This window comes from Homo sapiens, chromosome 3, assembly GCF_000001405.40.
Source record: "Homo sapiens chromosome 3, GRCh38.p14 Primary Assembly".
NCBI classification, from domain to species: Eukaryota; Metazoa; Chordata; class Mammalia; order Primates; family Hominidae; genus Homo; species Homo sapiens.
In genome coordinates this window covers 17,519,387-17,533,434 of record NC_000003.12, presented here as the reverse complement: position 1 = coordinate 17,533,434, position 14,048 = coordinate 17,519,387, and the positions used below count along the sequence as shown (strand labels likewise).

The window sequence follows — 14,048 nt, the reverse complement described above, 5'->3', positions numbered from 1 at the left end:
CCCCCATATTAGGATTTGATATGCCATACACTAGTGTAGGAGCTCAGGAACTTCAGTAGTTGGCAGTTCCTCAAGCAAACAAACTAAGATTTTTAAATGTGATTAATGAAATTGATATGTTTTGTTGAGTAACCAGCTTGGGTATTTTTATTTTCTTTATATATTGGCATTAAATGGTCAAATGAAGTAGAACTCTATCTTAAATAGTTTATCTTTTAATTGTATGGGGAAATAGATTTAGGGATTATTGGATTGTAGAAAAGGAATTTACTCCCAAATAAGAAAGTTATATCTGAGAATATTTAATAGTTTAGGTAACTAATTGGAAGTGTGTGTGTGTGTGTGTGTGTGTGTGTGTGTCTGTGTATGTGTGTGTGTGTGACAGGATCTCATTGTGTTGCTCAGGCTGGAGTGCAGTGGTGTGATCAAATTTTTTTTTTTTAATTTTATTATACTTTAAGTTTTAGGGTACATGTGCACAACGTGCAGGTTTGTTACATATGTATACATGTGCCATGTTGGTGGGCTGCACCCATTAACTCCTCATTTAGTATTCGCTATATCTCCTAATGCTATCCCTCCCCCCTCCCTCCACCCCATAACAGTCCCCGGTGTGTGATGTTCTCCTTCCTGTGTCCATGAGTTCTCATTGTTCAATTCCCACCTACAAGTGAGAACATGCGGTGTTTGGTTTTTTGTCCTTGCGATAGTTTGCTGAGAATGATGGTTTCCAGCTTCATCCATGTCCCTACAAAGGAAATGAACTCATCCTTTTTTATGGCTGCATAGTATTCCATGGTATATATGTGCCACATTTTCTTAATCCAGTCTATCATTGTTGGACATTTGGGTTGGTTCCAAGACTTTGCTATTGTGAATAGTGCCACAATAAACATACGTGTGCATGTGTCTTTATAGCAGCATGATTTATAATCCTTTGGGTATACACCCAGTAATGGGATGGCTGGGTCAAATGGTATTTCTAGTTCTAGATCCCTGAGGAATCGCCACACTGACTTCCACAATGGTTGAACTAGTTTACAGTCCCACCAACAGTGTAAAAGTGTTCCTGTTTCTCTACATCCTCTCCAGCACCTGTTGTTTCCTGACTTTTTAATGATCTCCATTCTAACTGGTGTGAGATGGTATCTCATTGTGGTTTTGATTTGCATTTCTCTGATGGCCAGTGATGATGAGCATTTTTTCATGTGTGTTTTGGGTGCATAAATGTCTTCTTTTGAGAAGTGTCTGTTCATATCCTTTGCCCACTTTTTGATGGGGTTGTTTGTTTTTTTCTTGTAAATTTGTTTGAGTTCATTGTAGATTCTGGATATTAGCCCTCTGTCAGATGAGTAGATTGCAAAAACGTTCTCCCATTCTGTAGGTTCCCTTTTCACTCTGACGGTAGTTTCTTTTGCTGTTCAGAAGCTCTTTAGTTTAATTAGATCCCATTTGTCAATTTTGGCTTTTGTTGCCATTGCTTTTGGTGTTTTAGACATGAAGTCCTTGCCCATGCCTATGTCCTGAATGGTAATGCCTAGGTTTTCTTCTAGGGTTTTTATGGTTTTAGGTCTAACATGTAAATCTTTAATCCATCTTGAATTAATTTTTGTATAAAGTGTAAGGAAGGGATCCAGTTTCAGCTTTCTACATACGGCTAGCCAGTTTTCCCAGCACCATTTATTAAATAGGGAATCCTTTCCCCATTGCTTGTTTTTCTCAGGTTTGTCAAAGATCAAATAGTTGTAGATATGTGGCATTATTTCTGAGGGCTCTGTTTTGTTCCATTGGTCTGTATCTCTGTTTTGGTACCAGTACCATGCTGTTTTGGTTACTGTAGCCTTGTAGTATAGTTTGAAGTCAGGTAGCATGATGCCTCCAGCTTCGTTCTTTTGGCTTAGGATTGACTTGGCAATGCGGGCTCTTTTTTGCTTCCATATGAACTTTAAAGTAGTTTTTTCCAATTCTGTGAAGAAAGTCGTTGGTAGCTTGATGGGGATGGCATTGAATCTGTAAATTACCTTGGGCAATATGGCCATTTTCATGATATTGATTCTTCCTACCCATGAGCATGGAATGTTCTTCCATTTGTTTGTATCCTTTTTTATTTCCTTGAGCAGTGGTTTGTAGTTCTCCTTGAAGAAGTCCTTCACATCCCTTGTAAGTTTGATTCCTAGGTATTTTATTCTCTTTGAAGCAATTGTGAATGGGAGTTCACTCATGACTTGGCTCTCTGTTTGTCTGTTATTGCTGTATAAGAATGCTTGTGCTTTTTGCACATTGATTTTGTATCCTGAGACTTCCCTGAAGTTGCTTATCAGCTTAAGGAGATTTTGGGCTGAGATGATGGGGTTTTCTAGATATACAATCATGTCATCTGCAAACAGGGACAATTTGACTTCCTGTTTTCCTAATTGAATGCCCTTTATTTCCTTCTCCTGCCTAATTGCCCTGGCCAGAACTTCCAACACTATGTTGAATAAGAGTGGTGAGAGAGGGCATCCCTGTCTTGAGCCAGTTTTCAAAGGGAATGCTTCCAGTTTTTGTCCATTCGGTATGATATTGGCTGTGGGTTTGTCATAGATAGCTCTTATTATTTTGAGATACGTCCCATCAATACCTAATTTATTGGGAGTTTTTAGCATGAAGGGTTGTTGAATTTTGTCAAAGGCCTTTTCTGCATCTATTGAGATAATCGTGTGGTTTTTGTCTTTGGTTCTGTTTATATGCTGGATTATGTTTATTGATTTTCATGTGTTGAACCAGCCTTGCATCCCAGGGATGAAGCCCACTGGATCATGTTTGTCCACTTAATTTTCAAGAAAATATAACTATTCAAGTAAAAGCTTTGGCTAGTGTGTGGCATTTTATGTCTAACTCAGTAATATGCAGGAATGCCTTGTGGAGTGAGAGAATAAAGAGTCTGTGAGAGAAAGGGTTAAGTCTTTCTGTATTTACTCCTTTAAAAATATTGTATTTCCTTTCTTGTCACTTAAATCTAAATTATGGTCACTCCCTCTAAACAGAGAGAAATGAGCTCTGATTACCCTCTTTTTGCTGATGAATTTAGTTGTAACCACCCCCCAACCCCCCATCGATATTTTCAATCTAGGTGTATTTGTATACTTGTTGCTGTTGAATTACGCATTTTAGGTTGGATCAGTTTTTTCCCTTTTTTTTTTTTTTTTTTTGAGACGAAGTCTCGCTCTGTCGCCCAGACTGGAATGCAGTGGCATGATCTTGGCTCACTGCAACTTCTGGCTTCTGGGATCAAGTGATTCTCCTTCCTTAGCCTCCCAAGTAGCTGGGACTACAGGCATGTGCCACCATGTCTGGCTAATTTTTGTATTTTTAGTAGAGATGGGATTTCACTATGTTCGCCAGACTGGTCTTGAACTCCTGACCTCGGGTGATCCACCTGCCTTGGCCTCCCAAAATGCTGGGATTACAGGTGTGAGGCACCGTGCCCAGGCTGTTTTTACCTATTTTAAAAATAAAACCAGATTCATTAAAAATAAAAATGCATAGTTAACCCGTTATCTGAGACATCTTGATTTATGACATGTCATTGTGGCATCCTGATGTGCTCCGTCCAATTTTATCTCACGTTTTTCCCACAAGTATTAATAATGCCATGGCACACGCCTCAAATCCCAGCTACTCGAGAGGCTGAGGCAGGAGGATTGCTTGAGCCCGGCAGACAGAGGTTGCAGTGAGCCGAGATTATGCCACTGCACTCCAGCCTGGCCGACAGAACAAGACTCTGTCTCAAAAAAAAATAAAAATAATAATAATAATAATGCCTTCTTTGTACCAGCACCGTGTTAGGCATTTTCCTTGTCCTCATGAATTCAGGGCTGGCACTAAACCTTTAAAATACACATATATGTATATATGTAAACACCCCTGCTTCCATCATACCCTCTTCCCCCCACCCTTTCTCTTACATGTATAATTGTGATAAGTACAATGATGGAAAGATAGGGCCACCCAGAAGTCAAGTAAGGAAGAGAACTAATCTAGTGGTGGTGGGCAGTGTCCAACAAGACCTCACATAAGGAAGTGAAATATATGTTTTATTCCCCAGGCAAATCGGGACAGAGATATTGCAAGCTGAAGAAGAAACTTTTGTAAAGGCTCTGCGGCTGGAAAGAACTTCTGTTTTGCAGAGTTTACAGATAGTGTGGTTAGAGCCCAGAGAGCTCAGGGACAGTAGCGACTGAGCCAGGTTGGTGGCTAAAGGGCCACACAGGGGCTTGTAGATTCTCTTAGAAATTTCAGCCTGTGAGTAGTCACTCATCGAAGGGGTTTCAATAGGGAGAGTGATATGATTAGATTTACTGTTTTAAAAATCAATCTAACTGCAGTGATCTTTATTGAGGAGATTAAGGGGAGCAAGAGAGGGATTCTGGGAGTTCTTGTCCAGAGGCTTCAAGACTAATCCAGATGATGCTAGCTTAAATTAGGGAAGTCAGAGAAGGACAGAAGAGACATAAGTGGAAATGTCTAGTAAGTCTTAGAGTTCGAGACTAAAAGACATATAGACTGATGAAGTGAACAATTTTTTTTGTAGTGTTTTGAGCTAGCATTTTCTTGCTTGAAATTTAATGTATTTTCAAATATTTGTTTCTACTTGTTTTGTTATCAAAATGGACTGAGTAACTACCTGGCTTTTCCACAAAATATTGTAGTGCTTAATTCTTTTTCTGGCTTTGGGTGCTTACTAGAGTATATATTAAGAGGGTCGTGCATAAATGAGTCCCTTTTATCTGCCTTTCCCTATAGATCTGCCCAAGTAGAGAATGGGGGGGTGAAAGAGGAGTAGAACAAAAAGTATGATGTAGTTTTGTATAAGGAGTTGTCTTACTCCATTTGTGCTGCTGTGACTAAATACCAGAGACTGGATAATTTACAAGGAACAGAGATTTATTTTTCACAATTCTGGAGGCTAGGAAGTGCAAGATCAAGATGAGAGCAGGTTCAGTGTCTGGTGAGGGCTGGTCTCTGCTTCCAAGATGGTACCTTGTTACTGCATTCTCCTAAGGGATTAATGTTGTATCCTCACATGGTGAAAGGGATGGAAGGGCGAAAAAGGACATAGCTAGTTCCCTCCAGCCCTTTTAATAAGCATTAACCTTATGCATTAGGGTGAAGTCCTGATGGCGAAATCACCTCCTGAAGGCCCTACCTCTTAATACTGCTGCACTGGGGGCTGGGTACGGTGGCTCACGCCTGTAGTCTCAGCACTTTGGGAGGCTGAGGTGGGCGGATCGCTTGAGCTCTGTACGTGGAGGCTGCAGTGAGCCATGATCATGCCACTGCACTCTGGCCTGGGCGACAGGGTGAGACCTTGTCTCAGCCACCCCTCCCAGCCCCCCCTAAAAAACCTAATACTGTTGCATTGGGGATTAAATTTCAACAGGAATTTGGGAGGCGATCCAACGTTCAAACCTATAGCAGGGGCCTGAACATAACAATGAATATATGAAAAAGAAAACAGAATATAAGGTTTGGATATACAAATATAAAATCAAATTAAATTTAGTATTGTGTATTATTATATGATTGTCTCATTTTGCTTATGTGCTTATTTTGTGCAGATGTTTTTATTTCTCCAAAAATATGAGAAACATCTTGAAGATTGTCATCTGGCTAGATGCCCATTTATGTTACTTGGTTTACCTTCTTTTACTAAGTTTTTTGGTTTCTTTTTTTACTGATCTTGTTTCAGGTTTCTGTGGTGGTTGCTTTTTATCTTATTTTGTACTTTCTCATATACCATAGTCTAATACAATTTTGAGGACTTGCCTTTGTTCTTAACCTTTCTGAGGAAGGGCTCTTTTCTGAAGAAGGGGCTGAGTGGATGGGCAAGTAGTCAGTGCTTTTGATCAGTTGAAAGATTTGTGATCTTTCTAAAGAATAGATCATATCATGTCACACCCTTGCTCAAAAGCTCCCAATGGCTTTCCATGCCACTGTGTATGAAAGTCCTTTCATGGCCTGAAAGGATGGAAGTGACCCAGCCTCTCTTCTGTTTCCCCTTCTTTTTCCCCCAGTATCTCCAGACCTCCAAGCTATTTCCCACTTTATGGTCTTCTGCATTTGCTGTTCGCAGCATGCTCTTCTTTCAGGTTATCATGTGGCTTGTTCCCTCACTTTATTCAAATATCACCACTTCAGAGGTGCTTCCTAAGACTACACTTTCTCAGATAAGCTCCCAGCTCCCAAATAAGCTTTCAGTCATATCCCATCTTTCTCTATCCCTAGGCCTCTTTACATTTTCTTCATATCATGTGTTGTTGCTACTTGATATGCGAACTCTTTATCCTTGTCTTACTGTCTTTTCCTAGAACGTATATTTTCTGGGGACAGTAAGTTACTTATTCACCACTAAATGCTTATCTTCTACACTAGCTTTTGGCACATGGGAGGATTCAATAAGTACTAAGTTGAATGTATATTATATTTGTGCAGCCCTGGATTTCCTCAATTTCTGCTTACTACCTTCTTTCCTTCCTCAACAGACATGTTGAGAAAACAGCATGGAATATCTAATTATAATGTATAAGGTTGTGAACAAATATTATAGATCACTCAAAGGTTCCATCATTTTCAACTGTAGGTGCCATCCTGTCATTGATTTTATTCTAACCTTACTGTGTAAATATATTCACTAGAGTAGTGACAGTGTGCTGGTAATGGTGATAACAATTAAAGCTAATATTTATTGAATGCTTACTATGTATATGTCAGATATTCTGAATACTTCAGGGATATTCATATAATCTTCACAAAACCTGTGAATTGAGTATTCACCATTTTACGTGTGAGGAAACTGAGACACAGTTTAGCTAATTTGTCTAATCTCAGATGGTGAGGACAGTTCCTCAATTTAAGCCTAGATAATGTTGACTAAATCACCAGTGTCAATAGTAGTAGATTCTGGGCCAAGCGTTGTGGCTCATGTTGGGAGGATTGTTTGAGGCCAGGAGTTTGAGATCAGCCTGGGCAAAATAGGGAGACCTGGTCTCTACATAAAATAAAAAGAAATTAACCGAGCCTGGTGGCACTCATCTGTAGTCCCAGCTACTTGGGAGACTAAGGCTGGAGGATTACTTGAGTCTAGGAGTTGGAGAGTGCAGTGAGCTATGAATGCACCGCTGCATTCCAGTGTATGCAACAGGGAGATTCCCTGTCTCTTAAAAAATAAATAAATAAATGAATAAATTGATTCTGGAAGTTTTCTTTTATAGAAATAAGCATGGTGATGGAAAGAATTAATGGTTGCTGGTATATTCTAGGGTTTTTCTCTTCTCAAGGGTATTCCTCCCCTTTTATTCTCTTGGAAGAAAGAAACCTCCTGTTTTGTTTACTTTTCCCCATTACAAGCAGAAATATGACTTAATTTCTGAATTTAACATTCTAAAACTGAATGAAAAGAAGTTAGGAAGCATTTCAGAGAGAATGAAGCATTTGAGATTAACTTTACAAAGTGATTAGTAGAATCTGTTCCGACGGATATATTTTCACTCATTCAGCAATATTTATTATTATATGCCAGGTCATGAGAATAGATCAATTTAAAAAAGAAGTAAAGTGTTTTAGGAAGAGGAATTGGTTGGGAGAGGATTTCTTGACCAAGACTTGTTATTCAAGAAAACAGAGAGGTAGGAAAACACTAGACGCTTTTTAGAAACTAAAAAGACGTGGAAGGGAGGATTGGGAACACAGGTGTGGGTAGATCGTGAAAGACATTTTGAGAACCTACAGGGGCATTTATGCTTCAGTAAGTATTATGGAACCATAGACATTATTACCATATTTAATCACCAATATGGATTTTTTCTGAACAGTAGTAAGCTTTATAAAGTAATGTAATAAGAAACAATGGATTTTGAGCCAAAAGAATGGAATTGTATTCATAATTTTGCTTCACAATTGTAGGAACTGGAGCAAGTCATTTTAACATTTTTATAATTAAATATTTTTAAAAGATACATCCCTGGCCGGGTGTGGTGGCTCACACCTGTAATCCCAGCACTTTGGGAGGCCGAGGCAGGTAGATCACCTGACATCAGGAGTTCAAGATCAGGCTGGCCAACATGGGGAAACCCCATCTCTACTAAAAATAAAAAAAATTAGCTGGGTATGGTGGCGGGTGCCTGTAATCCCAGCTACTTGGGAGGCTGAGGCAGGAGAATTGCTTGAACCTTGGGGTCGGAGGTTGCAGTGAGCCGAGATCGCGTCATTGCACTCCAGCCTGGGCAACAAGAGTGAAACTCTGTCTCAAAAAAAAAATCCTCATGTCCTGTTTTTTAAAGTGTACATTTATGTATACAGTTGGAGAATTCCTCCTCATGCTTTGTTGGTTTCTTGTGTGTCCAGAAATTTTAACACACAGCAAAATTACATTTGTATATTTTTATAAAATAATGGGGTCATACAGGTAGCATTGTTGATTTCAGTATGCTGTGTACATATTTTTTTTTTTTTACATCAGAGCATTTTAAATTCCTACCTATTATTCTATTTCTAGATTACCTTTATGTATGTATGTATTTATTTGTTTATTGAGATGGAGTTTGTCTTGTCACTCAGGCTGTAGTGCGATGGAGCAATCTCGGCTCACTGCAACCTCTGCCTCCCAGGCTCAAGCGATTCTCCTGCCTCAGCCTCCTGAGTAGCTGGGATTACAGGCTCCTGTCACTATATCTGGCTAATTTTTTTTTTGTATTTTTAGTAGAGATGGGGCTTCACCATGTTGACCAGGCTGGTCTTGAACTCCTTACCTCAGGTGATCTCCCAGGCTTGGCCTTCCAAGGATTTGTGCACATATAAACTTCTGTCCATGTATGTTACATAGAACAAGGATTACAGCTGTGAGTCACTGGGCCTTGCCTGATTACCATAATTTATAAACCCAAGGATTATAGAACATTTAGATTGCTTATGGTTTTTCACTATTACAATCAACTTCTTTCTGCATAGATTTGGCTAGAGGATATATAAGTAGGATACATTTTTAGTGGTAGAATTGTTGATTCAAAAGTTAGATGCATTAGTAATTTTGATAGTTATTGCCTTCCTAAACTTGCACTTTTTAAATCAAGTTCATTAGCATCAAAATGCCTATTTCTTCAAATTCTTACCAAGACTGGGTATTATCTACCTTTTTTATTTTGCATTCTGATAGGTGAAAAATTACATCTAATTGTTTTAGTTGATATTTCTTTAACTGTGAGTGAGGCTGCACATTATTTTATGTTATTGGCTGTGTATATGTATAAAATTCCGTTCCGTGCACTGCTTGTTTTTCTCCTTCGTTCATCTCTTTAAATCTTCCTGTATTATTTGTTTCATGCTTTTTACAAAAGGAAATGATACCTGCTTACTTATTAGATGGTTGGGATGATCAAATAATGTAGTATTTGTCAGTGTTTCTGAACCTTTTAAAAAATCATTGCACCCCTAAAAAGTCTTTAAAGAAAAACTTCTCCCAGTCATCCTCCACTGTGAAAGTTTAATAACACAAATATACACAGATAAACTATGTTTCTCTTTATGTACTATATTCCATTTGAGGACCATAAACTATTGTAGTATCTATGATTCCCTACACCCACTCTGTGCACCAATCTTGTCCACTAGGAGACAATATCACTGCCATTGAGAATGCATGATATATGTGAAAATTTTTGTAAACTGCAAACTGCTATTTAAATGTAAAGCTTTATTGTTAATAATTTGCATTTCATACGATATAATTTTATATGTCTGTTTTGCAGCTGCTTTTTCTCAGTGCAGCTTTCTCTGTTGCAAACGTAGGTATTTACTATTTTATTGTCCATTTTGCTGGCTTCAGAACAATCTTTTTTGAGTTGACCTCTGGTCAACTTTCTCTGTCCATCTCTGCCTGTTGAAATACTATTTCTTCAAAGCCTGTCCTAGATATTCCCTTCTCCATAAAGTCTTTTGAGACCCCTGTATTTACCCCTTGACCTTTCAGAGTTAGAGCTCCTTTTAATACATCTTCTTTGCTGTAACATTCTAGTTTTCATTATGTGGTCTGCATTTTCTTTGTGTTCTACCTCCCAGGAGATGTTTCTTCTCTTCTCATCTCTATTTCCTGATGTTCCTTTCCCCATGCCATTGTACATAGTGAGAAAGCAGTAGGATATCTTAAAATGAGTTTCTGAAGAAGGTTCACTTCAATTTCCAGCCACTTAGTGTGCGACCTTGAGATGAAATCGTTAACTTGCTAGACTCAATTGCCACCTATGTAAAATGGGGGTAATAATGATTCCTGTCTGATAGGATTGCTGAGAAGATTAAATGGGATAATACACATAAAACACAGTGTCTAGCATTTAGTAAGCATTAAGTGAAATATTAGCAATCATCACTACTCCAAACAGTTCTTAGCACAGAGAAAGACAAATGATGCTAATTTGTTCAATAAATATAATTGAACTGCATCATCGTTCCACAGATGACAAAGCATGGTATGAAGTTTTGTCATTTACTTTCGATTGTTTACTGAAGTTTACACATAGATTTCAAAATTCTAAAAATTATTTATGCAATGATTTCATGTAAATTAGGATAGCAAGAATTATAGAACTCTAATGTACTTAGATTTTAGACATTCTATTACGGTACTCAATGAAATTTTGGAGATAGTATGCTACATTCTTTTACCTAATTGTATACATTGGAAAAGGAGGTGTATATTTTTGCTAGTAAAATTCCCTGGGAGTTGGGATAGGGTTTGTGTAGCTCCTCTGTAGTCCCAGTTTATTCAGTTTTGTTAATTCTTTTCATGTACCCTTTCTGGCCTGTATCTGTTCTATGTAGAGTTTATAGAATTGTTTTGTTTTTTAGTATTCATTGAAGTCTTGAAACATTCTTTGACAATCACCATAGACCCTTTATGTTTTCTGACTTCAAGATATTATGTGAGCACTATGTATTGTGTTCTTTTATAATTAGCTCCTCTCCTGTATCCTTTTTTTCACCTTCTCAGTGCTTTAGTCTTTCCCTCTTATGCAAATGAAATTGAAATAGTTTATTCCCATTTTGAGGGCTTATAATGACATTTTAATATATGTCAGTTTTCTTACATGGGCAACCTAAACAGTTTTGGTGTTAGAACACATATGGACAGAAGTTTACATGTGTACAAATCTCTTTTATGAAAAAAATGGAACCATTACAGTCAACGTGGATTCTGAGAGAAACCCCCAAGTCAGATCACTTTGCAATGATACTCAAGTTTATTATTTAATAATATTTTAATATTTTAAGTGACTATCATTTTTTACTATCTCTTTTATAAAGTCTATATATATTTATATGTTATGTTTGGGAAATTGGAATTTTTCTTGCCTCTGTAAATGATGATAGTCTTCTACTACAATTGGAACATTTGCATATTTATACTGAGACTTTTTGGCTCATGTATCCAAGTTAATAGAAGTTTCTACTCCATCAGCAAGTAAGCTCATCATTTTTGAAGCTACTAATCAATTAAATTGGCCATTTTAATATGGACTACAACATATTTTCACATTTTGCATTATTTAATGTTTTAAAAATTTATGGTCCCATAAATTTTGATGATCATACCTTAGATTCTTGTGCTGTATCATGTATAATTATTAACATTAATACAAGAGTTCAAATACTATGTTAATTCATGAATGAAAGAGTTAACATAATATTTTATATTAGTCTCAACAAATTAACAAAGTTCACATTTTCTTTGGATTTCCCCCCCCAAATTATGCACTTACGTTCTTCACTGGTAAAGATAATACAGCTGATCCTTGAGCAACATGGGAGTTAGGGATACTGACCCCTATGCAGTCAAAAATCCATATGTAACTTTTGACTTCCCAAATGCTTTGACTACTGATAGCCTACTGTTGACCAGAAGCCTTACCAATGACATAAACAGTTGATTAACACATATTTTGTATGTTATATGTACTATACTGTATTCTTACAATAAAGTTAGAGAAAAGGAAATGTTATTAAGAATATCCTAAGGAAGAGAAAATATATTTACTATTCATTTAGCGGAAGTTACCCTTGTTGGCTTCACATTGAGTAGGCTGAGGAGGAGGTGGAAGGGGAGAGGTTTTGGTCTTATTGTCTCAGGAGAGGTACATGCAGAAGAAAATCCACATGGACCGGTGCAGTTCAAACCCATGTTGTTCAAGGGTCAGCTGTAGTCTCAGAACTGTTTAAGAATAGTCTTATACTCTGTTTCTACTCAGCAGCTCTTGTATTCTTGTCAGAATATTTGATTTTTCTGCCATATGGTAGCTGATGGTTTCCACTAAGAAGTTTGTTCATTTGTCTATTATATTTCTTTGTAGCTCCTTTTTTCAGGGTAATTGAAAAACAAGATTCTGTGGAGCTGGGTCAGTACATTTGAATCACACATTTTAGTTTTTTCCAGTAACAATCAGATGGCAGCTCTGGCAAAAACATGTCTTTCCTGCCTTTGGATGAGTTCTTTTGGGGTCTTGTCCTTTGAGATCTCTTTTAATCCTGGAGCTCCTACAGTGTCTCCTTGTCTGTCTACTGGTAGGGTTGTCAGATAAAATACAGAACTCCTTGTTAAATTTGATTTTCAATAAATAATGAATACTTTTTAGTATAAGTGTCTTAAATATTATGTTTGTTGTTTTTCTGAAATTTAAATTTAATTGGGCATCTGTATTTTATTTCATTATTTACTTATATTTATTTATTTGGCAACCCATTTCCTGGACTTTTTCTTAACTAAATTTTGGGCCCCTTGAGAGAAGGAGATTGATTGTACCCTAATTCTATAACTTGTTTTCCTGTTCCCATGGTAGATGGATAATTTTTTACTGACTGAAAAAATAAGCTAATAAACTGAAATGTTTCTTTATCTGAGTATTTATAAAGAAACTTTCTTCTACTGAGTTTGCCCTTTTCTGTGAATAAATTCATTGAAAAAAATCATGTTTCAATGAATAATTGCAGATCTTAACCTTAATTTAAAAATTTCATCTCCCTTTCTCTTCCTTTCTCTTCGTCATTTCTCTTCCTCTTATCTTTCCAGCTCTTACTATAATTAGCTAGCATTAACAGCAAATGTTTGCTTTAGTTAAATTATTCAGAACATTTATTTTACTTGTCAAAGGTTAGATCAGGTTGTTGTTTGAACTGGTAATTAAATGCAGGCTAATAGGCTTTCGTATTTATATGCACTATAAGCCTGTTTCCTCATCATTCTGTATAATTTTATGATGTTCAAGGCTGACATTTCAAAAAGGATTTTGGTTTTGTGGAAAAGAAAACATTCTAAGTAATGTAGTTTGTTACGTGATTTGAGAATGTCCAAAGTTGTGGTTGAAAGTAAATACTACATTTCAATGTCATTGTAACATGTAGTATCATGGTGGTAATTTTCACCAAGTAGTATATAATATTAAGCTCACTGCCTATTGAGTTTGCATTTGATATGAGGATCAGTGCTGTGTTGGCTATAGTAGGTGCTCAGTATATATTTGTTAAGTGACTGTTTTAGGTCTTATTTATGGCATAGTTTAAAAAAATAATAAGATGGAAAACTCAGATCTTTTATCTCAAATAGTATAATCCATATCTATTCCTACGACATACTACAGGTTCTCTTAAATCATTTCAATTTGTGTGCTTCTGTGTAGAACAAGTATAGCTCAATTAGTCCTCATATCTGGGAATTATACTGAAGCATGTCTTTGTTTTTGTTGATTCATTGAATAAATGATTTTTGCAAGTTCTGGGGTGCTAGTAACTTAGAGTATAGATGAGTAAAACAGGTCCCCTATCCTCACAATAGAAGTTAGTCGAAAACCAACCATTATACTAAAGAATGGTTAATATTAGGGTGGAGTTATGCATAAGGTAAGTGGGCATCTGAATCAAATTAGGAGAAGGCATGTTGGGGAAGAGTGACTTTTGAGCTGTATCTTAAGGGCCAGTAGCAGTTGGTAAGGCGAAGAAGGTAAGAACAGTAGTGCCTTGCAGAG

At 37.0% G+C, this 14,048-nt stretch overlaps 1 protein-coding gene across 65 annotated transcripts in view; it reads left to right on the top strand.

Moving 5' to 3' along the window:
• Window positions 1-14,048, top strand: part of TBC1D5 (TBC1 domain family member 5) — a 585,470-nt gene that overhangs the window by 209,197 nt on the left and 362,225 nt on the right. The window lies entirely within an intron of this gene.